Source organism: Homo sapiens, chromosome 5 (assembly GCF_000001405.40).
Source record: "Homo sapiens chromosome 5, GRCh38.p14 Primary Assembly".
NCBI classification, from domain to species: Eukaryota; Metazoa; Chordata; class Mammalia; order Primates; family Hominidae; genus Homo; species Homo sapiens.
Genome location: NC_000005.10, coordinates 176036552 through 176062391, shown reverse-complemented (window position 1 = coordinate 176062391; position 25840 = coordinate 176036552). Strand labels below are relative to the sequence as shown.

At 47.0% G+C, this 25840-nt stretch overlaps 1 protein-coding gene and 1 long non-coding RNA gene across 5 annotated transcripts, besides 3 other annotated features; one reads left to right on the top strand and one right to left on the bottom strand.

Annotated features, from left to right (window-relative positions):
- The first annotated feature begins 336 nt into the window (after positions 1-336).
- Positions 337-12714, top strand: LOC100996385 (uncharacterized). The gene is made up of 3 exons (NR_103794.1): positions 337-697; positions 2027-2160; positions 11660-12714. It is a non-coding gene; the product is annotated as an uncharacterized LOC100996385 (long non-coding RNA).
- Positions 9742-10242: an enhancer, noted in NCBI's record as "H3K4me1 hESC enhancer chr5:175479153-175479653 (GRCh37/hg19 assembly coordinates)". NCBI's record gives its function as "activates a minimal SCP1, AML or CMV promoter by ChIP-STARR-seq in naive H9 embryonic stem cells {active_cell/tissue: H9 hESC(naive)}" and the evidence as "EXISTENCE:reporter gene assay evidence [ECO:0000049][PMID:30033119]".
- Positions 10243-10743: an enhancer, noted in NCBI's record as "H3K4me1 hESC enhancer chr5:175478652-175479152 (GRCh37/hg19 assembly coordinates)". NCBI's record gives its function as "activates a minimal SCP1, AML or CMV promoter by ChIP-STARR-seq in naive H9 embryonic stem cells {active_cell/tissue: H9 hESC(naive)}" and the evidence as "EXISTENCE:reporter gene assay evidence [ECO:0000049][PMID:30033119]".
- Positions 12715-16945: 4231 nt separating the features above from the next.
- On the bottom strand, positions 16946-25766 carry LOC124901141 (protein FAM83G-like). Of its 4 annotated transcripts, none has more exons than XR_007059069.1 (3): positions 25603-25766; positions 21545-21705; positions 16946-19667 (listed from the first exon to the last, which is right to left on the bottom strand). XR_007059069.1 is itself a non-coding variant. In XM_047417998.1 (3 exons), exons 1-3 carry the CDS (start codon positions 21945-21947, stop codon positions 19545-19547), a joined length of 306 nt encoding a protein of 101 aa, XP_047273954.1. In that variant the 5' UTR covers positions 21948-22327; the 3' UTR covers positions 19421-19544. The 4 variants fall into 4 exon arrangements, 2 of the variants coding, with proteins under 2 accessions (XP_047273954.1, XP_047273955.1); XM_047417998.1 differs by lacking the exon at positions 25603-25766 and adding an exon at positions 21926-22327 and having other exon boundaries at positions 19421-19667; XR_007059068.1 differs by having other exon boundaries at positions 19421-21705.
- Positions 17116-17616: an enhancer, noted in NCBI's record as "H3K4me1 hESC enhancer chr5:175471779-175472279 (GRCh37/hg19 assembly coordinates)". NCBI's record gives its function as "activates a minimal SCP1, AML or CMV promoter by ChIP-STARR-seq in naive H9 embryonic stem cells {active_cell/tissue: H9 hESC(naive)}" and the evidence as "EXISTENCE:reporter gene assay evidence [ECO:0000049][PMID:30033119]".
- Positions 25767-25840: the final 74 nt, after the last annotated feature.

Sequence of the window (25840 nt, the reverse complement as noted above, 5' to 3'; positions counted from 1 at the left end):
CTGCCTCAGCCTCCCGAGTAGCTGGGACTACAGGCGCCCGCCACCACGCCCGGCTAATCTTTTTTTTTTTTTTTTGTATTTTTAGTAGAGACGGGGTTTCACCGTGTTAGCCAGGATGGTCTCGATCTCTTGACCTGGTGATCCGCCCGCCTCGGCCTCCCAAAGTGCTAGGATTACAGGCCTGAGCCACCGCGCCCGGCCGACTCACGGTATTTTTTGATAGAGGAATGAGTTCTCTCATTAGGCACCTCCTATAATGTGTATAACACCATGTTTTAAACGTGTAGGTTAAAAATAACACTGTGTATGCTTAGCTTGGTGAGTTAAATCACTCACATTCTCCACCAAGCGCTCCAGCTGGGGAATTATGGGGGATGCAGAGCAGCTGAGGCTCCGTTTGGCACCACCCCTCTGAGGGTGCCCTCCGAGGCCCCATCCCAGGGGCTGCGGGGAAGCCGGGCCTGGGGACCCCCTCCCACCCTGGGCTGAGCCCCCACCCCACTGCCTGTGCTGCCTGTCCCCGGCTTCCAGGTCTCTGCTCCTGCGCTCCAGGCAGCGCTCCACTTCCGCGGCTTCGCCCTTGACAGCGCCCTGTGGATCTTCCGATTCGGTACCCCGAACCCCTGTAGACGTGGCCTAGGGAGCCCCGGACCGCCGGCCCCTGCGGCTCCCAAAGCCGAAGAACTTCTTCAAGGTGGTGAGTTCTTCTCAGACCCCCAACCACTGGCTCCTGAGCCGCGGCAGCTCCGTGTCACCTTTTCACTCCCCCTCGCCCCACACCCAGCCCCAAATCCCCAATCCAACTCCAAATCCCCTATCCAACCCCCAATCCGCGATCCAACCTCCAATCCGCGATCCAAACCCCAATCCGCGATCCAACCCCCAATCCGCGATCCAACCCCCAATCCGCGATCCAACTCCCAATCCGCGATCCAACCCCCAATCCGCGATCCAACCCCCAATCCGCGATCCAACCCCCAATCCGCGATCCAACCCCCAATCCGTGATCCAACTCAAAATCCCCGATCCAAATCCCAATCCGCGATACCAAGTCTGCGATCTAGCCCAGAATCCGCGATCCCGCCTGGTCCACCCTTCAGCAGCGACACTGGCGGCCTCCGACCTCTCAGACCTAGTGAGCCTCGCAAAGCCGCCCGGCTCCCGGAAGCCGCAGGTGCAGGCGCCGCTGGGCTCGCGGGTTCTCCTGGCTGGCCCGGGCTGCCCCAGGACCACGGACGGAAAATCGCAGGCGCGCGGCCCACCCCGCCTTAAGGGGAGGGCCCGCCTGGCCGTGTAGCCCGCCCCGCTCCTCCTTCCGAAGAGAGATCTGGTGCTGGCATGGGCACCCCGCGGCCACCGGAGTGGCTTCCCGGATGAGCCTGGCTTCGGCGCTGACGCTCTGGCCCTGGGGGCTGCCTGGCTGGTGTCAGGTAGCGGAAGACGCCTGGAGAGTCACTCGCTCCTTCCCCCACCCGCCCCCACCGCTGCTCGTGCCAGGACGCGCAGTTTGCAGTTGCAGCTCAGGCACTGGCGCGGGATGGCGGAGCTTCCCTTGGATGGCGTCAGGGTCACCGAGTGCACAGCCTACCTGGTCTGAGGGTCTGCTCCTCCTGGACACCTCTCCGGATCCTGATCCCTGGCGCTGGGCAATCCACAGGATGAGACTCATCGGCTGCTGGCGAAGCCGACCGCCTGACTTTGCTGCCTGGGCGGCTGGCCCCGGGATCCGCGCTGCTGGGGACGCGGGCCTGGTCTGCGGTGTCCAGCCACTTGCTGCGGGCGCGCCACGTCTAGGCTGGTGGCTGCAGCCGCAGCTCCGCGCCTGCGGGGGCTAGTGGGCCTGGTACCTGATGTCCTCAGGGTCAAGTGCATCGCTCACCCACCTGAGGGTCTGCTCTGCCTTGACCTCCTCCAAGAGCGCAGGGGCCACCGGGGAGGCAATTTAGGAATGCCTAAATGGAAGGAACTATCCTTTCTCTGTCTTTAAGAAATAAGTGGCTTTTGTTGTTGTTTTTGTGATACCCAGCTACAGCAGAAAGCAAAGGGGATGCAGAGGTGAAGGTCCACAGCCAGTTCCTCTACTGATTCCCTCCAGGCATAAATGTTCAATCTAACGGCTTTGGTTGGCACTTTCACCTCAGCACTTACCTATGCCTACAGGTTTGTTCAATGGCAACTCTTGGATTTTGAATTAATACCCAATTATTTCATATTTTAATACCCAAACTATTTTAATAGTTTACCATATCTGCAATCCTGAATTAATTTTTTCTTTGTTTATAAAACAATCACTATAGTAAGATAAAAATCACAAAACACTTCCACATTTCATTGGGCTAAAAAAGCATTAAAACATTATACGTAAAAGATAAAAAATACATTGTTTCATCATAAAAATTATGGCTTTGCAAAATTTTTTTACCTTTAGCTACATTCTTACGATTCTTTAACTTTTCACTGTTATTTTATACATTTTTAAAACAATGCATACCAGTGTTTAAAAAACAAATGCAGCACTTCATCTAGGACTGAACATATAACGCTGGTCAGCTCTTTCAGCATGGTGCAGGTGTGGGCCTCAGGCTGCTTTCTGTTTACATGTATCAAATGACATGACCATCTTAACTGCACAGATACCATCTTCTCGGCTTCTTTCTTCTCCCCCAAAACTATTTAATGTTGCTTTAATGGCAACATCAATTTAACTAGTTTTGTAATTTCTGTATTTAATTGTCACATAACATTATATCCGTTCTTTTTTTTTTTTTAAAAAAAGGAAAGCATACAATCTTAGTTGCTAGGCCAGTTCTTCTGAATCAATTTGAAATCACCTTTTTTCTCTTTCATAATAACTACTTATTTTAATCAACAAGTCAACTATTATTAGATATTAACTTATTTTTTCTAGTTAAAATTTTGCTATCTTTCAAATAATTCCAACTCTTACACACACATTTAATGTACATAACTGTAACATATACATACATAAGCACAGGTTAAGCCAGATCTAACATGAATTTAGATATGCCAAGAAAGCCACATGACCATTATTTACATAAATATGACCAGTGTTCACATTTATCAAGGCCAATGAATATTAAGGTGATTGCTTCAATAAGAAATTAGGTGAAGAATTATTTGTTGAATATTGTCAAACACTTTTTTAACCTGTTAAAGTTATTTAAGCCCGACCCAAATAATTTTTAAACTTTTTATTCTATCATGCCTATAGACAGCTTCATATATTAACCATTTCTGCTTTCGTGGTCCTTTGAGAATGGTATCTTAGTATGTAAGTGCAATAAATAAACAACTTTTAAAAGAATAAAGAAAATTGATATAAATTAGTCTGGAAAATCTAGTCTGTAGCTGGGCAGCCAGGTGCCCCCAGCTAAACCTCAAGGGATGGTTCTGTTAAAGTGAAGAAAAGAAGAATAGTGTGTAACAGAAGCCCGCTCTGTGGCTCCAGGTTACAGCTGTGGCCACCCAATCTGCCTTGTGCCTCCTTCTTCTCACACAGGACACACTCATCCCAGCCCCAAGCAAGAAAGACCAAAGTCCCTTGCCAGGCGCGGTGACTCACGCCTGTAATCCCAGCACTTTGGGAGGCCGAGGCGGGTGGATCACGAGGTCAGGGGATCGAAACCATCCTGGCTAACACGGTGAAACCCCGTCTCAACTAAAAATACAAAAAATTAGCCAGGCGTGGTGGTGGGCACCTGTAGTCCCAGCAGCTACTCTGGAGGCTGAGGCAGGAAAATGGCGTGAACCCGGGAGGCGCAGTTTGCAGTGAGCCGAGATCACGCCACTGCACTCCAGCCTGGGGAACAGAACAAGACTCTCTCTCAAAAAAAAAAAAAAAAAAAAAAAAAGAAAGACCAAAGGCCCCTTCCGTTACTGTATCCAACCCACAGTGCAGGTCCTGTGGGCCATGTGCTATGCATCCCACCTGCATTCCACCTGGTTCACAAGTGGCTCCTTGATGTCCAGTGACCTATGAAAAATCATTTGTTAGGCCGGACGTGGTGGTTCATGCCTGTAATCTAGCACTTTGGGAGGACAATGTGGGCGGATCACCTGAGGTCAGGAGTTTGAGACCAGCCTGGCCAACATGGTGAAACCTGTCTCTACTAAAAATACAAAAATTAGCTGAGTATGGTGGTGGGTGCCGTAATCCCAGCTACTTGGGAGACTGAGGGAGAAGAATCGCTTTAAGCTGGGAGGTGGAGGTTGCAGTGAACCGCTATTAAACTCCACTATTCTTTATTGGGCACAACCCAGGAGGTCAACAAATGTATTTTCCTGTTTTTATTTTATTTATTTATTTTGAGACAGAGTCTCACTCTTTTGCGCATCTGCACTCTAGCCCAGGTGACAAGAGTGACACTCCATCTCAAAAAAAAAGGTAATAATAATAATAATAATTATTTGTGGACCTGCTGGGTTACACCCAATAAAGAATAGTGGTGTAGAATCAAAATAGTCCCAATAAAATTTATATATATATATATTTTTATTATACTTTAAGTTCTAGGGTACATGTGCACAACGTGCAGGTTTGTTACATATGTATACATGTGCCATGTTGGTGTGCTGCACCCATTAACTCATCATTTACATTAGGTATATCTCCTAATGCTATCCCTCCCCCCACCCCACAACAGGCCCTGGTCTGCGATGCTCCCCTTCCTGTGTGCATGTGTTCTCATTGTTCAATTACCACCTATGAGTGAGAACATGCAGTGTTTGGTTTTTTGTCCTTCCGAGAGTTTGTTGAGAATGATGGTTTCCAGCTTCATCCATGTCCCTACAAAGGACATGAACTCATCATTTTTTATGGCTGCATAGTATTCCATGGTGTATATGTGCCACATTTTCTTAATCCAGTCTATCATTGTTGGACATTTGGGTTGGTTCCAAGTCTTTGCTATTGTGAATAGTGCCACAATAAACATACGTGTGCATGTCTTTATAGCAACATGACTTATAATCCTCTGGGTATATACTCAGTAATGGGATGGCTGGGTCAAATGGTATTTCTAGTTCTAGATCCCTGAGGAATCGCCACTCTCTCTTCCACAATGGTTGAACTAGTTTACAGTCCCACCAACAGTGTAAGTGTTCCTATTTCTCCACATCCTCTCCAGCACCTGTCGTTTCCTGACTTTTTAATGATCACCATTCTAACTGGTGTAAGATGGTATGTCATTGTGGTTTTGATTTGCATTTCTCTGATGGCCAGTGATGATGAGCATTTTTTCATGTGTCTGTTGGCTGCATAAATGTCTTCTTTTGAGAAGTGTCTGTTCATATCCTTCGCCTACTTTTTGATGGGGTTGTTTGATTTTTTTCTTGTAAATTTGTTTGAGTTCTTTGTAGATTCTGGGTATCAGCCCTTTAGTCAGGTGAGTAGATTGCAAAAATTTTCTCCCATTCTGTAGGTTGCCTGTTCACTCTGATGGTAGTTTTTTTGCTGTGCAGAAGGAGCTCTTTAGTTCAATTAGATCCCATTTGTCAATTTTGGCTTTTGTTGCCATTGCTTTTGGTGTTTTAGACAGGAAGTCCTTGCCCATGCCTATGTCCTGAATGGTATTGCCTAGGTTTTCTTCTAGGGTTTTTATGGTTTTAGGTCTAACATTTAAGTCTTTAATGCATCTTGAATTAATTTTTGTAAAAGGTGTAAGGAAGGGATCCAGTTTCAGCTTTCTACATATGCCTAGCCAGTTTTCCCAGCACCATTTATTATATAGGGAATCCTTTCCCCATTTCTTGTTTTTGTCAGGTTTGTCAAAGATCAGATAGTTGTAGATATGTGGCATTATTTCTGAGGGCTCTGTTCTGTTCCATTGGTCTATATCTCTGTTTTGGTACCAGTACCATGCCGTTTTGGTTACTGTAGCCTTGTAGTATAGTTTGAAGTCAGGAAGCGTGATGCCTCCAGCTTTGTTCTTTTGGCTTAGGATTGACTTGGCAATGCGGGCTCTTTTTTGGTTCCATATGAACTTTAAAGTAGTTTTTTCCAATTCAGTGAAGAAAGTCATTGGTAGCTTGATGGGGATGGCATTGAATCTATAAATTACCTTGGGCAGTATGGCCATTTTCATGATATTGATTCTTTCTACCCATGAGCATGGAATGTTCTTCCATTTGTTCGTATCCTCTTTTATTTCATTGAGCAGTGGTTTGTAGTTCTCCTTGAGGAGATCCTTCACATCCCTTGGAAGTTGGATTCCTAGGTATTTTATTCCCTTTGAAGCAACTGTGAATGGGAGTTCACTCATGATTTGGCTCTCTGTTTGTCTGTTATTGGTGTATAAGAATGCTTGTGATTTTTGTACATTGATTTTGAATCCTGAGACTTTGCTGGAGTTACTTATCAGCTTAAGGAGATTTTGGGCTGAGACGATGGGGTTTTCTAGCTATACAATCATGTCATTTGCAAACAGGGACAATTTGACTTCCTCTTTTCCTAATTGAATACCCTTTATTTCCTTCTCCTGCCTGATTGCCCTGGCCAGAACTTCCAACACTATGTTGAAGAGGAGTGGTGAGAGAGGGCATCCCTGTCTTGTGCCAGTTTTCAAAGGGAATGCTTCCAGTTTTTGCCCATTCAGTATGATATTGGCTGTGGGTTTGTCATACATAGCTCTTATTATTTTGAGATACGTCCCATCAATAACTAATTTATTGAGAGTTTTTAGCATGAAGGGCTGTTGAATTTTGCCAAAGGCCTTTTCTGCATCTATTGAGATAATCATGTGGTTTTTGTCTTTGGTTCTGTTTATATGCTGGATTACATTTATTGATTTGCGTATGTTGAACCAGCCTTGCATCCCAGGGATGAAGCCCACTTGATCGTGTTGGATAAGCTTTTTGATGTGCTGCTGGATTCGGTTTGCCAGTATTTTATTGAGGATTTCTGCATCGATGTTCATCAGGGATATGGGTCTAAAATTCTCTTTTTTTGTTGTGTCTCTGCCAGGCTTTGGTATCAGGATGATGCTGGCCTCATAAAATGAATTAGGGAGGATTCTCTCTTTTTCTATTGATTGGAATAGTTTCAGAAGGAATGGTACCAGCTCCTCCTTGTACCTCTGGTAGAATTCAGCTGTGAATCCGTCTGGTCCTGGACTTTTTTTGGTTGGTAAGCTATTAATTATTGCCTCAATTTCAGAGCCTGTTGGTCTGTTCAGATATTCAACTTCCTCCTGGTTTAGTCTTGTGAGGTTGTATGTATCAAGGACTTTATCCATTTCTAGATTTTCTAGTTTGTTTGTGTAGCAGTGTTTATAGTATTCTCTGATGGTAGTTTGTATTTCTGTGGGATCGGTGGTGATCTCCCCTTTATCATTTTTTATTGCCTCTATTTGATTCTTATCTCTTTTCTTGTTAGTCTTGCTAGCAGTCTATCAATTTTGTTGATCTTTTCAAAAAACCAGCTCCTGGATTCATTGATTTTTTGAAGGGCTTTTTGTGTCTCTGTTTCCTTCAGTTCTGCTCTGATCTTAGTTATTTCTCACCTTCTGCTAGCTTTTGAATGTGTTTCCTCTTGCTTCTGTAGTTCTTTTAATTGTGATGTTAGGGTGTTAATTTTAGATCTTTCCTGCTTTCTCTTGTGGGCATTTAGTGCTATAAATTTCCCTCTAACACACTGCTTTAAATGTGTCCCAGAGATTCTGGTATGTTGTGTCTTTGTTCTCGTTGGTTTCAAAGAAGATCTTTATTTCTGCCTTCATTTTGTTATGTAGCCAGTAGTCATTCAGGAGCAGGTTGTTCAGTTTCCATGTAGTTGAGTGGTTTTGAGTGAGTTTCTTAATCCTGAGTTCTAGTTTGATTGCACTGTGGTCTAAGAGACAGTTTGTTATAATTTCTGTTCTTTTACATTTGCTGAGGAGTGCTTTACTTCCAACTATGTGGTCAATTTTGGAATAAGTGCAATGTGGTGCTGAGAAGAACGTATATTCTGTTGATTTGGGGTGGAGAGTTCTGTAGATGTCTATTAGGTCTGCTTGGTGCAGAGCTGAGTTCAATTCCTGGATATCCTTGTTAACTTTCTGTCTCGTGGATCTGTCTAATGTTGACAGTGGGGTGTTACAGTCTCCCATTATTATTGTGTGGGAGTCTAAGTCTCTTTGTAGGTCTCTAAGGACTTGCTTTATGAATCTGGGGGCTCCTGTATTGGGTGCATATATATTTAGGTTAGTTAGCTGTTCTTGTTGAATTGATCCCTTTACCATTATGTAATGGCCTTCTTTGTCTATTTTGATCTTTGTTGGTTTAAAGTCTGTTTTATCAGAGATTAGGATTGCAACCCCTGCCTTTTTTTGTTTTCCATTTGCTTGGTAGATCTTCCTCCATCCCTTTATTCTGAGCCTATGTGTGTCTCTGCACGTGAGATGGGTTTCCTGAATATAGCACACTGATGGGTCTTGACTCTTTATCCAATTTGCCAGTCTGTGTCTTTTAATTGGAGCATTTAGCCCATTTACATTTAAGGTTAATATTGTTATGTGTGAATTTGATCCTGTCGTTATGATGTTAGCTGGTTATTTTGCTCGTTAGTTGACGCAGTTTCTTCCTAGCCTTGATGGTCTTTACAATTTGGCATGGTTTTGCAGTGGCTGGTACCGGTTGTTCCTTTCCATGTTTAGTGCTTCCTTCAGGAGCTCTTGTAGGGCAGGCCTGGTGGTGACAAAATCTCTCAGCATTTGCTTGTCTGTAAAGGATTTTATTTCTCCTTCACTTATGAAGCTTAGTTTGGCTGGATATGAAATTCTGGGTTGAAAATTCTTTTCTTTAAGAATGTTGAATATTGGCCCCCACTCTCTTCTGGCTTGTAGAGTTTCTGCCGAGAGACCAGCTGTTAGTCTGATGGGCTTCCCTTTGTGAGTAACCTGACCTTTCTCTCTGGCTGCCCTTAACATTTTTTCCTTCATTTCAGCTTTGGTGAATCTGACAATTATGTGTCTTGGAGTTACTCTTCTCGAGGAGTATCTTTGTGGCATTCTCTGTATTTCCTGAATTTGAATGTTGGCCTGCCTTGCTAGATTGGGGAAGTTCTCCTGGATAATATCCTGCAGAGTGTTTTCCAACTTGGTTCCATTCTCCCCGTCACTTTCAGGTACACCAATCAGACATAGATTTGGTCTTTTCACATAGTCCCATATTTCTTGGAGGCTTTGTTTGTTTCTTTTTATTCTTTTTTCTCTAAACTTCTCTTCTCGCTTCATTTCATTCATTTGATCTTCCATCAGTGATACCCTTTCTTCCAGTTGATCAAATCGGCTACTGAAGCTTTTGCATATGTCACGTAGTTCTCATGCCATGGTTTTCAGCTCCATCAGGTCATTTAAGGCCTTCTCTACATTGGTTATTCTAGTTAGCCATTCGTCTGAATCTTCGTTCAAGGTTTTTAACTTCTTTGTGATGGGTTTGCACTTCCTCCTTTAGCTTGGAGAAGTTTGATCATCTGAAGCCTTCTTCTCTCAACTCGTCATAGTCATCCTCCATCCAGCTTTGTTCCATTGCTGGTGAGGAGCTGCATTCCTTTGGAGGAGGAGAGGTGCTCTGATTTTTAGAATTTCAGTTTTTCTGCTGTTTTTCCCCCATCTTTGTGGTTTTATCTACCTTTGGTCTTTGATGATGGTGTCGTACAGATGGGGTTTGGGTGTGGATGTCCTTTCTGTTTTTTAGTTTTCCTTCTAACAGTCAGGACCCTCAGCTGCAAGTCTGTTGGAGTTTGCTGGAGGTCCACTCCAGACCGTTTGCCTGGTTATCAGCAGTGGAGGCTGCAGAACAGCAAATATTGCTGAACAGCAAATGTTGCTGTTTGATCGTTCCTCTGGAAGTTTCGTCTTAGAGGGGTACCTGGCTGTGTGAGGTGTCAGTCTGCCCCTACTTGGGGGTGCCTCCCAGTTAGGCTACTCGGGGGTCAGGGACCCACTTGAGGAGGCAGTCTGTCCGTTCTCAGATCTCAAACTGCGTGCTGGGAGAACCACTGCTGTCTTCAAAGCTGTCAGACAGGGACATTTAAGTCTGCAGAGGTTTCTGCTGCCTTTTGTTTGGCTATGTCCTGCCCCCAGAGGTGGAGTCTACAGAGGCAGGCAGGCCTCATTGAGCTGTGGTGGGCTCCACCCAGTTCGTGCTTCCCAGATGCTTTGTTTACCTGCTCAAGCCTCAGCAATGGCAGGCGCCCCTCCCCCAGCCTCGCTGCCGCCTTGCAGTTTGATCTCAGACTGCTGTGCTAGCAATGAGTGAGTCTCCGTGGGTGTAGGACCCTCTGAGCCAAGCGCGGGATATGATCTCCTGGTGTGCCGTTTGCTAAGGGTGTTGGAACAGTGCAGTATTAGGGTGGGAGTGACCTGATTTTCCAGGTGCCATCTGTCACAGCTTTGCTTGGCTAGGGAAGGGAATTCCCTGACCCCTCCCGCTTCCCAGGCGAGGTGTTGCGTCGCCCTGCTTCAGCTCACACTCAGTGCACTGCACCCACTGTCCTGCATCCACTGTCCGACAAGCCCCAGTGAGATGAACCCGGTACCTCAGCTGGAAATGCAGAAGTCACCCGTCTTCTGCTTCTCTCATGCTAGTAGCTGTAGACTGGAGCTGTTCCTATTCGGCTATGTTGGAACCCTCCCAGTCCCAGTAAAATTTTTCATTTGGAAAATAGAAGATGGGAAAAAAACACAGAAGTCACTGATCCATTGCAATAGTGGAATTCTGTAGGTCAGATATTATAAAGATTTTGTTGTGTCCATGTACAAAGTTCTTCGTTCTGACCCTGGATCCACTCTCTGAGGAACTGCCTTGTTTTTTGTTTTGTTTTGTTTTTTGAGACAGAGTCTCGCTTTGTTGCCAGGCTGGAGTGCAGTGGCACAATTTCGGCTCACTGCAACCTCCAGTTCCACTGCCTCAGCCTCCCAAGTAGCTGGGACTACAGGCGTGCACCACCATGCCTGGCTAATTTTTTTGTATTTTTTAGTAGAGACGGGGTTTCACCATGTTGGCCAGGACAATCTCGACCTCCTGACCTGATGATCTGCCCACCTTGGCCTCCTAAAGTTCTGGGATTACAGGCATGAGCCACGGCACCTAGCCTTGCCTGATCTTTTTAAAGATCACACTATATCTACTCAAAGCACACAGAAGAAATTATACAGAAGAAAAACTTAGAGAGAGAGAGATCCTCAGCTTCCTGCAGGACAATGCTAACTTGAGTTTCTTTGGTCATACTGAAGAGTTCTGATCAGACACTCTCCGGTAGAAGAGCACACAGGCATTCCAGTATCTTCAGCATACAACACTGTACAGGTCTGCATTATAATAAAACATTAAGTAAGAAGTCTGTAAAAGTTTTTCTTGTCTTGCAAATCTAAAACAAAGGGTCCATAAATTCAGCAAAAATAACTACTCACTAAACTTGTTAAATTCAAAATATAAAGAAAATGTGGGTCTCTGTAGAGTACTGCTTCGAATGGAGCTCAGGGTACTTCAGTTCTGGGACTAAAACCAATCCCTTACTTGGGAGTGATACTGGGGGGGAGGAGGAAGTAAGGGAGTTGTTCAGTAATGGAGTAAGGAAAAGAAATAGCCTAGAAAAGTCTACATTTAAGCAAATAGCAAGTAACATTTTAAAATATGTTCTATGGATCTCTTGCTACAGCAATGCGAGTGGGAGAGCCAGGAACCCAGTCTCCGAGCGGGACACCACGGATTGTTTTATGAAAATGGCAGCTGGGACGTGGAGGAAGAGCCACCTGCCAGTTGGACTGGAGCCACAAGCTGCACTGTGAACCTGGTCACTTGGTACCAATGCCGTCAGCCCGTGGGTATCTGAGGGGACCTGCCAATTGGACTGCCAAATTCCCCAGTTTGCTCCCAGATATTATAGAAAATTATTTGTATAAATAATGTAAAGAAAACACACCTATGGCAAAAACATATACATGTTCTTTAGCACAGGGTGAAATCATAACTGGCGTCATCTAAACATTTCCTCAAAGATCAGCCAAATCTAGGTAAATTCTGGTAAATATACTATATTCAACCTTAAAGCTTACCACCATTACATGCATGGCTATGGTAGTATGGTATCAACATCTAAACTAGTGAATCTAACACAGGTAAGAATTTTAAAATGCCCCCAGATGACTTCAAGGCCAAATTTCTGCTAAGGTCTCCACAAAATGGCTATTTTCAAATATAGCATATTGTGACTGGGTTTTCTGAGGTACTTTCCCCCATACTTTTTTTGTTCTGGGACTGGGGGCTGTGGAAGAAAAGACTGCTTTGCAATGCTGCATAATAAATATGGTTTTAAAAGTGCAAGTGTTACAAATGTCTTCCCTAATTAATCACACTCCTATATAAGTGAAAAGGTAATCTGAAATTTTGGTGGAAAATTACTTCTGCTGAAACTAATCTTAAGGTTGGACTTCTTTATTCATTAGTTTCCCTTTGATATTCATATCATCCCCTTAACTTACTCCTCTCTCACACCAACATGCACCCCCCCAAGGCTGTCGTAAAGAATTATCTTTAAAAAATCTTATAAGCAGCTACAACATTTTCATTCCAGTTATCAAAGAGGTCATTCATGGTTCTGTAACTAGAACAGAAGTATTAGAAAAAGGATAAAATCTATTGTAGTTGTACATAAAGAATATTACTTCCAATGTTATATAGAACTGTAAATTAAAAATAAAGTAATGGAAAATATCTATTTGTAAATAATTACTTTGATCATAAACTTCTGATCTATATTCTCCTCCAAAGCATTCACACTTCAGGGTCTCACCATTTAGGTCAAAGTCTCCTCTGTGTCATTAAGTGTATATCACTTTCCCTTGCCACTCCCCATAGAGCCCAGACATCAGACAAATAGAAGGTTAAAAAATAAACATCCTGGCTGGGTGCAGTGACTCCTGGCTGTAATCCCAGCACTTTGGGAGGCCAAGGTGGGAGGATCACATTGTGCTCTGGAATTTGAGACCAGCCTGGGCAGTGTGGCAAGACCCCGTGTCTCTACTAAAAATACAAAAAAATTAGCCAGGCTCGGTGGTGTGTGCCTGTAATCCCAGCTACCCAGGAGGCTGAGGCAGAGAATGGCTTGAACCTGGGAGGTAGGGGTTGCAGTGAACCAAGATCACAACACTGCATTCCAGCATGGGCGACAGAGCAAGACTGTCTCCAAAAAATAAATAAATAAATAAATAAATAGAAAGTAAAGTATTATTAACTACTTGTTTTAAAAACAAAATTATTTCCAATTTATGTTCCCTCACATTTCTAAATTTTTGCAAGTGCTATCTCTTCTATCTAAGAAAAGTGTTTCCACTTCATTTCCTGCAAACGTTGATATTAGGTAACACTCAACTCTGACCTACAAAGAATAAGTCTGACTTCCTATGACATTCGAGGAAAAAGCGAAAGGCAGCTTGAAAAGCATCCTCCCGTCCCTGGTCTGGTATTCCAGTGCACCCACAACTTACCTCCCTCTTGCAGATCCCAACACATACTGAGCTGTTCATGGCTCCATCACTGGGCTCACATTCTTCTCATTGCCGGAATGGAATGACCTTCCTCTGCTTGCTTCACTTGGCTCGATAGCTTTTAAGGCTCTGTTTTAAATTTCACCACCAGGCCCTAAATTTCATCCACCACACATGAGGACAATCCTAGGTGGACATCAGAACCCAGCTGGACATCCCATCTCCAGGTGGATACTAGGCCCCCAGTCGATATCTGGCCCCAGGTTGACACCAAGGCTCCAGGTAAACATGAGGCCCAGGGTGAACATTAGGCTTCTGGTAAACACCAGGCCCATGTGGATTACTAGGACCCGGGCAGACGTCAGGCACCAGGTGTACCCTCGGGCCCCATGTGAATATCTATGCCCCAGCTGAACATCAGTCAACAGGTGGATGCCCAAGCCTTGGTAAATACCAGACAACAAGTGAACATCAGGGCCCAGAGAGACATTTGGTCCAGGTGGACACCTAGGTGGCCTGGTGAACATCAGGCTCCTGATAAAAACCCAGGCAACAGAAAGATAACAGACCACACCTAAACACCCAGGCCTCAGGTGGGTGTCAGGCCTCAGCTAAATACCAGGCCCCAAGTGGACACTGAACTCAGCTGCCAGGCTGACACCCAGGCCCCAGTTGCACCCCAGGTCATAGGGGAATATCAGGCCCCAGGAGGATACCCAAGCCCCAAGTAGGTATGAGGTCGCAGGTGAACACCCACCCCCAGAAGAATACCACGCCTCAAGTGAACACAAAGCCCAACGTGGATATGAGAACCCAGGTGGGCACCTGGCCTAGGGAGTATACCTAGGCCCCAGGAACTCATAAGGTCCCAGGTGGGCATGAGCCAGGTAAACCCTCAGGCCCCACGTGCACACGTGGCACCAGGTGAATAATCAGTCCCAATGTGGACACAGGACCACAGGTGAACATCAGGCTCAAGGTTGACACCCAGGCCCCAGGTTTACATGAGGACTCAAGTGAAAACTTCACTCCAAATGGACATCAGACCCCAGGCGAAATTCAGACCCAGGTGGATACCTAGGCTCCAATTGGACAGCTAGTCCCCAGGACTTCAGGCCCTAGGGTGACACCCAGGCTCCAGGTGGACACCAGGCTCATGGTAGAAATCAAGACACAAGTTGACACTTAAGAACTCAGTAAACATGAAGGCACATGTAAACTACTAGGCCCCAGGTGAACACCCATGCCCCAAGTTGACACCAGGCTCCAGGTGAACGTCAGGTCCCAGGGTGACACCAGGCCTCACATGGGTACCTAGATGCCAGGTGAACATCAGGCCACAGATGGAAACCAAAGCCACAGAAGGGTATCAGATCCCATGGAAACACCCAGGCCCCAGGTGGGAGTCGAGACCCCCTGGTAAACACCAGGCTCCTAGTGGACATTAGGGCCCAGCACAACGCCTGGCCCCAGGTGAACAACAGGCCTAAGGTAGCCATCAGGACCAAGTGGACACTGGATTCAAGCTGTACATCAGGTGTACCACAGTAATCCACACGGGGCCTGGTGTTTACCGGTGTCCAATGTCCCAGTTGGACACCAAGTCACATGGGGACACAGACTCCAGGTGGACACCCAGTCTCAGGATGGAAATCGGGCCCTAGATCAACAGAAGGCCCCAGGGTGACACCCAGGCCCCAGATGGATACCAGGCCCCAGGCGGACATCAGACCCAGGGTGGATACCCATCCCTAGGTAAACACCAGACCCCAGGCAGGTTATAGGTCCCAGGAAAACACCCAGGCCCCAGGGAGAAATCAGACCCTAGGCGAACTCTGGTCTGCAGGTGCACATCAGGCTGGGTATACATCTGGGAACTTGTGTTCACCGGGGGCCTGTGTCCACCCCTTGGACCTGCTGTTCATCTGTGGCCTGGCATTCACCTGGGCCCTGAGAGTCATCCTGATGCCTGATATCCACCTGGGACCTACACAGCCACCTGGGACCTGGTGGTCACTTGAGGGCTGGTGCCCTCCTGAGGCCTGATGTCAACCTGCAGTGTGGGCATCCATTAGGGCCTGATGTCCACCTGAGGTCTGGGGTTCACCTGGGGCTTACTGTCCACGTGGAGCCTTGGTGTCACCCTGGGGCCTAATGTCCACCTGGAGCCTGGTATCCATCTAAAGCCTGGGTTCCACCTGGGGCATTGTTATGTCCACTTGAAGACTCGGTATCCAACTAGAGCCTGAGTTTCACCTAAGACCTGATATCCACGTGAGGCCTGGGTGTCCGCCTGAAGCCTTGGTATCCTCCTTGGGCCTGAAGTCCATCTGTGACATTCAGTGCACCTGGGGCCTGGGTGTAAACCTCGTGCCTGATGTATACGTCAAGTCCAGTGCGCACCCGGGACCCGATGGCCCCCTGAGGCCATATATCCACCTGGAACCAGAGTGTCCATTTGGGGCCTAATGTTCACCAGGAACATAACTATCCACGTGGGGCCTCATGTCTACCTGGGGCCCAGGTGTCAACGTGGGGCCTAGGCATCACCTGGGGCCTGTTGTCCATCTGGAACCTATTTGTCAACTGGGAACCTGATGTCCGCCTGGTGCCTGATGTCCATTTGGAAACTGGAGTCCACCTGGGAACTGGCATACACCTAAGACATAGCGTCAATCTGGTGTTGGATGTCCAATGTTCACCTGGGACTGTCCACTTGAGGCCTGATGTTTGCCTGGAGCCTAGGTCTCCACTTTGCTCCTGAATATTGACTGAGGCCTGGGTGTCCACGTGGGGCCTTATGCCTACCCAAAAAGGGCTGTGGCACAATGCACCTCGCCCAATTCCTGGGAAAAGTTTGTGGAGAGTTGCTGAACACCCACCCCTCACGGTTCAGGAACATGCCCTCCTGAAGACACCATCCAGGAAAGTGACTTCTTGGCCCAGGTCACTGCTCAGGGCATGAAGATCTGGAGATGGCACTGGGAACAGAGATGCAGCTGCAGTCGCTCAGGCTCGCCTCCACCGCCGTCGTGCCACAGGCCGCTGGATGCTTCCAAATCAGGTGCTGGAATTGGGGCCCTGGAGCTTCGCCCCATCCTGCTGCCAACAGGAAAAGGGCAGCGCCAGAGAACGCTGCCCTTACCGCTGCTCCAGGCCTAAGTCAACCTGCTGGGCTAATCCTCAAGGGCAAAGGCCACACGGGCCATCAGCCGCCGCCACCTGATGCGAAGAAAGGCAGCTGAGAAAAGGCTGCCTGCTGGCAAAGCAGCCCCAGAACCAGCCAGCCGGTGGCGCCCAGGGCTGCGAGAACTTTCTCCAAGGTAAGCTCTTGGCCTTCCTTGGTTTTGCTGTACTTTGCAAGTTGTGATTTTCTGAAAAGTGAGTAGGATGTTTTCGGGGCGGCCTTAGCAATTTCTAGCCCTAAGAGTGATGTAGGAGAGTCCCAGTTGCTCCCATCCCCGCTGACACTGAGCGGCCCACAGTTGCTCCCATCCCCGCTGACACTGAGCGGCCCACAGGGGAAAATCCAGAGATGGCTTGATTCCGTCTGACATTTCATTTCAGTGTGGTTTCCAGTGTTTCTTAGGAAACTGGGCCTAGGTTGGTTTGTGTCTTCTTCATACCATCCTTCTCGTACTTTCTTTGTGTTCTTTCCTGGTTGCTATTTTCACTTTTCTTATACTGAATACGTAGGTCCCACGTTTCCATTCCTTCTTCCTTTCCAGTCTGTGTGTATTCTGTGCAACGCCTGTGCTAGGTAACATCGGGCCCCAGGTGAACACTTTTGACCCCAGGTGGACGTGAGGCTCCAGGTGAATACCCAGCACCTACGTGGACACCAGGCCCCACATGGACAGCAGTCCCCAGGTAAATATAAGGCCCCAGTTTGAAACCCAGCACCCACCTGAGTCAAGATGACACCTTCCCCACCGCGTTGGCAGGAGGGGCAATTCCCAGATGACAAGGGGCAGGGCCAGAGCAACTCTCTACACACTCTCCCCAGGACAAGGGCGGGTGCGTGGGACACACCCCCTCCAGGTGGGCATAAGGCCCCAGCGGACACAAAGGCCCCAGGAAAACGTCGGGCCCCAAGTGCACACTGGACTCAAGGTGGACGTTGGACACCAGGCCCCGGGTGGACAACAGGTCCCAGAGGGACTCCAGTTCCTGCATGGACATCAGGCCTCCGCTGGACATCAGGTCGCAGTTTGGCATGGAGGCCCCAGGTGGATATGAGGCCCCAGCTAGACATCAGGCCCCAGGTGAACGCCCAGGCCTCAGGTAAATACCAGGCCCCAGGTGGACCCGAGGCCCCAGCTACGTACCAGGCCCCAGGTGGAAACCTGGCCACAGATGGACATCAGGCATCTTGGAGGAACACCAGGCGCCACTTGAACCCCAGGCTCCAAGTGGATGTCCAGGCCCCAAGTAAGTATCAGGGCCAAGGTGAACAGGGGGCCCCAAGTGGACAGCAGGCCACAGGTGGATGCCTAGGCTCCTGGTGAACAGCAGGTCCCTGGTGAGAATTAGGCCCCAGACGGACACCCTGACCCCAAGGGAACATCTGATTCCAGATGGACATCGGGTCCTGGATAAGCACACGGTCCCTATATAGACATCAGCTCCAAGTAGACACTAGTCCCCAGATAGACATAAGGCCCCAGGTGCACACGGACTCAAGGTGTCCATCAAGCACCAGGCTCACACCCAGGCCACAGCTGGACACAAAGTCACAGGTGGACAGCCATCCCACAGAGAATACCAAGGACTCAGGTGGACATCCAGGCTCAAGGGGAGCATGAGGCCCTATGTAGGCAGCAGGCACAGGATGTGTATCAGACTCCAGGAGTACAATAGGCCCGAAGTGGATACCAGGCCCCATCTGAGTATCAATCCTCATGGGACAGCACGCTCCATATGGACACCAGGCATCAAGTACATGCCTAGGCCCCTGGTGCGTATCAGGCCCCATGGGGACACTCAGACCAGAGCTGGACATGTGGCCCCAAGTGGACACCCAGGACCCAGGTGGATACCTATACCCAGGGCTTCAGGCTTCAAGGGACCACAAGGCCCCAGGTGGCTGTGGAGGCCCCAAGTGGATATCAGGTACCAAGCTGACACCCGGGCACAGGTGGACACAAGGCCCCAGAGGATCAAGAGGTCCAAGGTGGACAACAGGTCTTAGGTAAGCAACAGTAACCAGGTGGATACCCATACCCCAGGTACAAACCAGGCCGAAACCAGGCCTCAGCAGCACACCAGGCCTCAGGAGGATACCTAGGAACCGGGTGGACATCAGGCCCCAAGTGTCCACTGAGGCCCCAGGTCAAAACCAGGCTCCTGAAGGACACCTGGGCCCCAGGTGGACACTTGACTCCAAATGGATATCAGGCTCTGGGTGGACATAGGCCCCAGGTAGATACCTTGGCTCCTGGTGAACATTAGACCCCAGGTACACATCTAGGTCCCACGTGGACATCCGGGCCCAGAAAGTCCTCAGGCACCGAGAAACACTCAGGCCCCAGCTGGACATCTGGTCCCAGGCTGACACCCAGGCCTCAGGTGGACACCAGGTGCTAGAAGAACTTCAGGCCCCTGCTAAAATCAAGCCCCGGGTGGATACCCAGGCCTTATACCAGGTCCCAGGTTTTAGATTTTATAAAAATAGAAAAGTTAGCCAGGCATTGTGGGGCATGCCTGTAATCCCAGCTACCTGGGTGGCTGAGGCAGTAGAATCACTTGAATCCGGGAGGTGGAGTTTGCAGTGAGCCAAGATTGCGCTACTGCACTCCAGCCGGGGCGACAGAGGGAGACTCCATCTCAAAAAAGAAAATAATATTCTCTGCATAATTAATTTGTGTTTTTGACTGATAAAGCACACCAGAGTTGAACATATTCTTATTAATATAAGTCATGTTTAAGAAAAACTAGAATTCGAAATTTGAACCTCAGCAAATCAATACCAGTCATTACTCAAATGGCATAAAAATAAGAAAAAGTGGCCATAGGTTATTACAATATTTGTGTTTAACTTGTAGAGAATATACACATTTATTTAAATTCTAAGGTTAAAATATTTTGTGAATGATTAATTTTCTTCTTGCAAAATCCATTGAGAATATAGTAGTCCTCCTTTATCCATAGGGGATACATTTCAAGATCTTCAGAGGATGCCTGAAACCACAGATAGTACTAAATCCAATATAGATTATCTTTGTTTCTACACATGCATGCCCTATGATTAACTTTCACCTTTTCACTTAAAAGGAACACTTTATGGCTTCTCTTTGGCATTTTTGAATTGCCAGCATCAGTACTTTTGCACTTTGGGGCCATTAAGTAAAACAAGATTTCTTTGAACACAAACACTGTGATATCTCAACAGAGGATTTGACGACTCAGAGAGCTGCTAAGTGACTAACAAGTGGGAAGGTAGACAGGTAGATGTTGTGGGCAGAGATGATTCACGTCCTGGGTGGGCCTTGAGTAGAGGGGGATGACAGGAGCTCCCACCACACTACTTGGAACAGCACAGCAAGTTAAAACTTGTCAGTTGTTTATCTGTGGATTTTTCATTTAATGTTTTCAGACCAGGATTGCCTGTAGGTAAGTGAAACCGTGAAAGCCAAATGCAGCTTACGTGGGACTACGGTATTAGAAAGAGATGTTAACAGAAGCGATCATGCTGTCACAGCCCCTGGTGTGCTGTTACTCACATTTTAAAACAAAATCATTCATTATAAAAGCTAGTCTGTTTAAGTGAGGAGTATAGTGCTACTATGTTAGATTGCACATGCTGGAAAATATTCTCTGTAAAAATGCAGCCCTCAATTTCAAAGCTGTTTTTTCAGTTTTAAAACTGGCTTTTATTGGCTGGGCACAGTGGCTTACACCTGTAATCCCAGCACTTTCAGAGACCAAGGTGGATGGATCACAAGGTCAGGAGTTCGAAACCAGCCTGCCCAACATGGTGAAACTCTTGTCTCTACTAAAAATACAAAAAAATTAGCCAGACACTAGCTGGGTGCGGTGGCTCACGCTTGTAATCCCAGCACTTTGGGAGGCCGAGGCAAGTGGATCACGAGGTCCAGAGCTTGAGACCAGCCTGGCCAATATGGTGAAACCTCGTATCTACAGAAAATACAAAAAGTAGTTGGGCGTAGTGGTGCGCGCCTGTAGTCCCAGCTGCTTGGGAGGCTGGGGCAGGAGAATTGCTTGAACCCAGGAGGCAGCGGTTGCAGTGAGCCGAGATCGCACCACTGCACTCCAACCTAGGTGACAGAGCAAGACTCGGTCTCAAAAAAAAAAAAAAAAAAAAATTAGCCAGACACCAAATGCCAGGGTGTCTGGGTAGAACAGAGTTGGAGCAATGAGATGTTGTATAGCCCAGAAAGGGGAGGTGACATGCCCAGGGACACACAGAAAAGCAGCACTGGGGACCTGCAGCCCACCTTGACCCCACTGGCAGCCGTCTCTGATCCACCTCTGTTCCGTGGTTTCTCCCCACCCTAAAGGTTCTACTCTGCTCATGTGCCTCAAATCCACTTCAACTGTGCAGACATCAAGGAAGCCTTCCCTGGCCTCAGCCTGAGGGAGAGCTGCTTCTGTCTGAGCCAGATCCTAAAACCAGTAAATGGACATTCTAAGGAGACAGGTTTTGGCTTAACCCAAGAAAGACTTCCTGGGAACTGAATCTCTCCAGATAGGCCACGAGCTACCTGAGGACATAGTGAGCACACTATGACCAGGGGTATGCAAGCAGACAGGTAACCAATGTGGCATGGGCTGCTCTGAAATAACATATGATGCAGCACTTGGCATGAGCTCCAGCACCTGGTCAGCAAGCACCTCATCAATGTTTATCTTATCTCTGTCCCATCAGACATGGCAAGTATCCTGTCCCTCAGGGAATTCAAGCAGAGGCTCTAGGATTACTGGACTCTGAGTGCCTGGCACAGGACTCCGTCCAGAGCAGGCAGGTACTCGAGGTGTTTGACAAACTGAATGACCCCTGCCATCTGGCCACGTAGGCAAGTGAGGAGCCTGCTCACCTTGAGGTGCCCCAGGTGCATGCGGGTCTGCTCACACATATGCAGAACGTACTTGACTTTACTCCCGTCCACGATGATGTACAAATCTGCTTTCCTCTTGAAGCCGGCATCCAGCAGGTCTTTGAAGATGTCCACATGGGTGAACATGTCCATGACCACAGCTATCACCCAGGAGCAAGAAGAGAGACAGGGGCCTGTCAGACAGCACAGCAGTGGGGACACGGTGCCTCAGCAGAACGCACAGCCCTCCCATGCCACCAGCTTCTCACGGGTGCCCACTCTGATCCCACTCCTGGAACCTCAGGACCGGGACCAGGAAGTGAAGGGCATGGGGTCTCTCTTGCCCTGAAGTTCTAGCTGCAGCCCCAGCTCTGGACTCACCAGGGACCCCGTGTTGGTGCATTCCCAGGCCAGGGCTGGCTACACTCTGCCCTCCTCGTAACACCTAGGGATGCTGAGGTGAACCAGATGTGTCAATGGCCAGGGGAGAAGGGCAGCAGCTGGCGTGGCCACTTGCTGGGACCTCCCCTGCATCCCTGGGCTGATGTGGATAGAATGATAGAAAAATAAGAAACCTGAACAGACCAATAATGAGTAATGCAATTAAAGCAGTAATAAAAAGTCTCCCGTCAAAGAAACCCACAAGAATCATGGTTTTACTGCTGAATTCAACCAAATGTTTTAAAAGAGCTAATACCAATTTTACCAAAACATTCCCCCAAAGAATGAAGAGGAAGGAATGCTTCCAAACTTGTTCTATGAGGCCAGAATTACCTTGGTACAAAAAGCAGACCAAAACACAACACAAAAAGAAAACCACAGGGAAACACTCCTGATGAACACAGATGCAAAAATCCTCAGCAAAATACTTGAAAAATGCATTTGACAAGACAATAAAAATATCATTTGCCATAATCAAGTGGGATTCATCCCAGGAATATGAGGATGATTCAATAAACACAAATAAATAAATGTGCTACACCACTTTCAGTGAATCAAAGAAAAAACCATATAATCATTTCGGTAGATGCTGAAAAAAATTAAACATTCCTTCATAATAAAAATTCAACAAAATGAGTACAGAAAAAAAACATATCTCAGCACAATAAAGGCCATATATGACAAAAACACAGCTAACATCATAAACAACGGGAAAAAGTTAAAAACTCTTCCTCTAAGATCTGGAACAAGTGTGGCTACTTTTTTTTTTGAGGTGGAGTCTTGCTCTGTCACCTAGGCTGGAGTGCAGTGGCGTGATCTCAGCTCACCGCAAGCTCTACCTCCCAGGTTCACACCATTCTCCTGCCTCAGCCTCCTGAGTAGCTGGGACTACAGGCGCCTGCCACCACGCCCAGCTTTTTTTTTTTTTTTTTTGTATTTTTAGTAGAGACGGGGTTTCACTCTGTTAGCCAGGATGGTCTTGATCTCCTGACCTCGTGATCCGCCCACCTCGGCCTCCCAAAGTGCTGGGATTACAGGCATGAGCCACTGTGCCTGGCCCAAGTGTGGCTACTTTTACCACTTTTATTCATCATAGTACTGGAAGTCTGAGCTAGAGCAATTAGACAGGAGAATGCAATAAAAAGCATCCAAATGGGAAAAAAGGAATTCAAATTGTCTCTGTTTGCAAGTGACATGATCTTTTACATATGGAGAGAATCCTAGAGATTATACAACAAAACCTACTAGAAACAATAAATATAGTAAAGTTACTAGACACAATATCAATATACAAAAATGAGTAGCACACGCATGCGCCAATAGTGAAACACCTAAGAAAGAAATCAAGAAAGCTATTTCATTACTGCTACCACCAAAAAAATACCTAGAGATAACCAAAAAGGTTAAAGATCCCACAACAAAATTATAAAACATAGATGAAAAATATTAAAGCAGACACATGTAAATGGACAGATATCCCATGTCCAAGCACTAGAAGAATATTGGTAAAATATCTGTATCACCCAATGTGAGCTACAGAATCAATGCAATCCACGTTAAATTACAAAACACATTCTTCATAGAAATAGAAAAAAAATTCTAAAATTCACATGGAAATGCAAAATACCTCAGATAAAATAATCTTGAATAAAAAGAAAAAAGCTGGAGGCATCACAATACCTGGTTTCAAAATATACTACCAAAATACCATGGAACTGGCGAAAAAAGGAGCAAGGAGAGACAGAGACAGACAGACAGACATAGATGAATGACAGAGACAAAGACAAATGAAACAGTGTAGAGAACTCAGAAATAAATTCACGCATTTACAGTCAACTCATTTTTAACAAAGGCACCAAGAACACACCTTTGGGAAGGACAATCTCTTCAGTAAACGCTAGGAAAACACAACACCCACACGTACGAGAATAAATTTAGATCTTTATCTTACCATATACAAAAATCTACTCAAAGATTGACATGTAGAACCTGAAACTATGAAACTACTAGAGAAGAAGACATAGGATAAATACTTCATGGAATTGGTTAGGACAAGGGATTTTGAAACAGACATCAAAAGCACAAGCAACAAAAGCCAAAATAGAGAAATGCAATTACATTAAACTTAAAACTTCTGCAAAGCAGAGGAAGCAATCAATAGAATGAAGAAACAAACCAGACAATGGAAGTATTTGCAAACTATACATCAGGCAAAGGGTTAATACACACAACATATAAAGAACTGAAGCTACTCAAAAGCAAAAATACAAATAATCTGATTTAAAAATCAGAAAAAGATCTACTCAAAACCTTTGTCCCCCACCATTATTTCCCCATCTTTTTTTCCCGACGACCTTTGGCCCCCTCTCTTTCGCCACCCTTTTTCTTCCTCCATCTACCCCAAAACTTTTTCCCCCACCATCTTTTCGCAAAGCCTTCTCTACTCACCCGCTCACTACAGTTTTCCCCACCCATCTACCCAAAACCTTTTCCCCACCGTCTTTTCTCCCTCTCCCTGGCCACCCTTTTTTGCCCCTCCGGCTCTCATCACCCTCTTTTGTTCCTTCATCTCCCCAAATACATTTTCTCCCATCTCTTCCCAAAGCCTTCTCTCCACTCCTGCTGCTCGCCACCCTCCTTCCCCCTCCATCTACCCAAAAACTGTTTCCCCATCGTCTTTTTCTTCTTTCCTCCTTGCCATCCTCTTTCCCTTCTCCATCTACCCAAAAACATCCCAGCCATCTTTTTGCAAAGCCGCCTTCCTACTCCTCCTTACCACCCTCGTTTACCCATCTACCTCCCCAATTTTCCCCCACCGTCTTTTCACAAAGGCCTTCCCTGCTTCCCGCTCACCCTCTTCTTTCCTCTATCCTGTTTGCCACCCTCTTTTTGCCCTCCATCTACCCCAAACTATTTTCCCTATCATCATTTTCCCAACTCTCCCCACTCCCCCTGGGCACCTTCTATTCTCCTCTCACTTGCCACCCTCTTTTCCCCCTCCATCTACCCACTTTCTACCCACCGTGTTTTCTTTCTGCACTTTCTTTTCTGCCCACTGGTTTTTCCCAAAACCTTTTCTCCCTGCTCGCCACCCTCTTTATCTTTCTCCCGCTTGCCACCCTCTTTTCCCCTCCATCTACTTAAAAGCTTCTCTCCTCACTGCCTTTTCACAAAACCTTCTCTCCCTCCTGCTCGCCACTCTCTCCTCCCCCTCCCTCTCTGCACCCTCTTTTCTCCTCCCACTTGCCACCCCTTTTTCCCGCTCCATCTACTCAAAATCTTTTTATCCACCCTCTTCTTTCCCTTTCTTTTTTTCCCAACTGTATTTTTGCAAACTTTCTCTCCCTCCTGCTCACCCCCGTTCCCCCCACCACCCTCTCTTTCCCCCTTCCATCTACCCAAAAACTTTTTCCCCACCATCTTTCCGCAAAACCTTCTCTCCCTCCTGTTCACCACCGTTTTTCCCCCTCCACCTACCCCCAACATTTTTTCCCCACCGTCTTTTCCTCACTGTCTTTTTTGCAACACCTTCTCCTGCTCGCCATCCTCTTTTCCCTTTGGCACTAACCACCCTCTTTACTCCTCCATCTACCCCAAAACTATTTTCCCCTTCCTACCGCTCCAGCCACACTGCAGTCTCCGTCGCTGCCACCAACCGCAGCGAGGCGAGCTGTGGTGCCGCAGCCACAGCCTCCAGCATGCAGCGGTGGCTAGCCCTTGTCCTGGTCCTCTAAGCCGGGAACGGAGCAGCCCAGCGCGCAGACACGCATGAGCCTAGAACGGCCTGACACCCCTTCAGCACCATTTATATACTGAGGTTATGCATATGAGGTTCCTGGACTACATGTTCCAGGA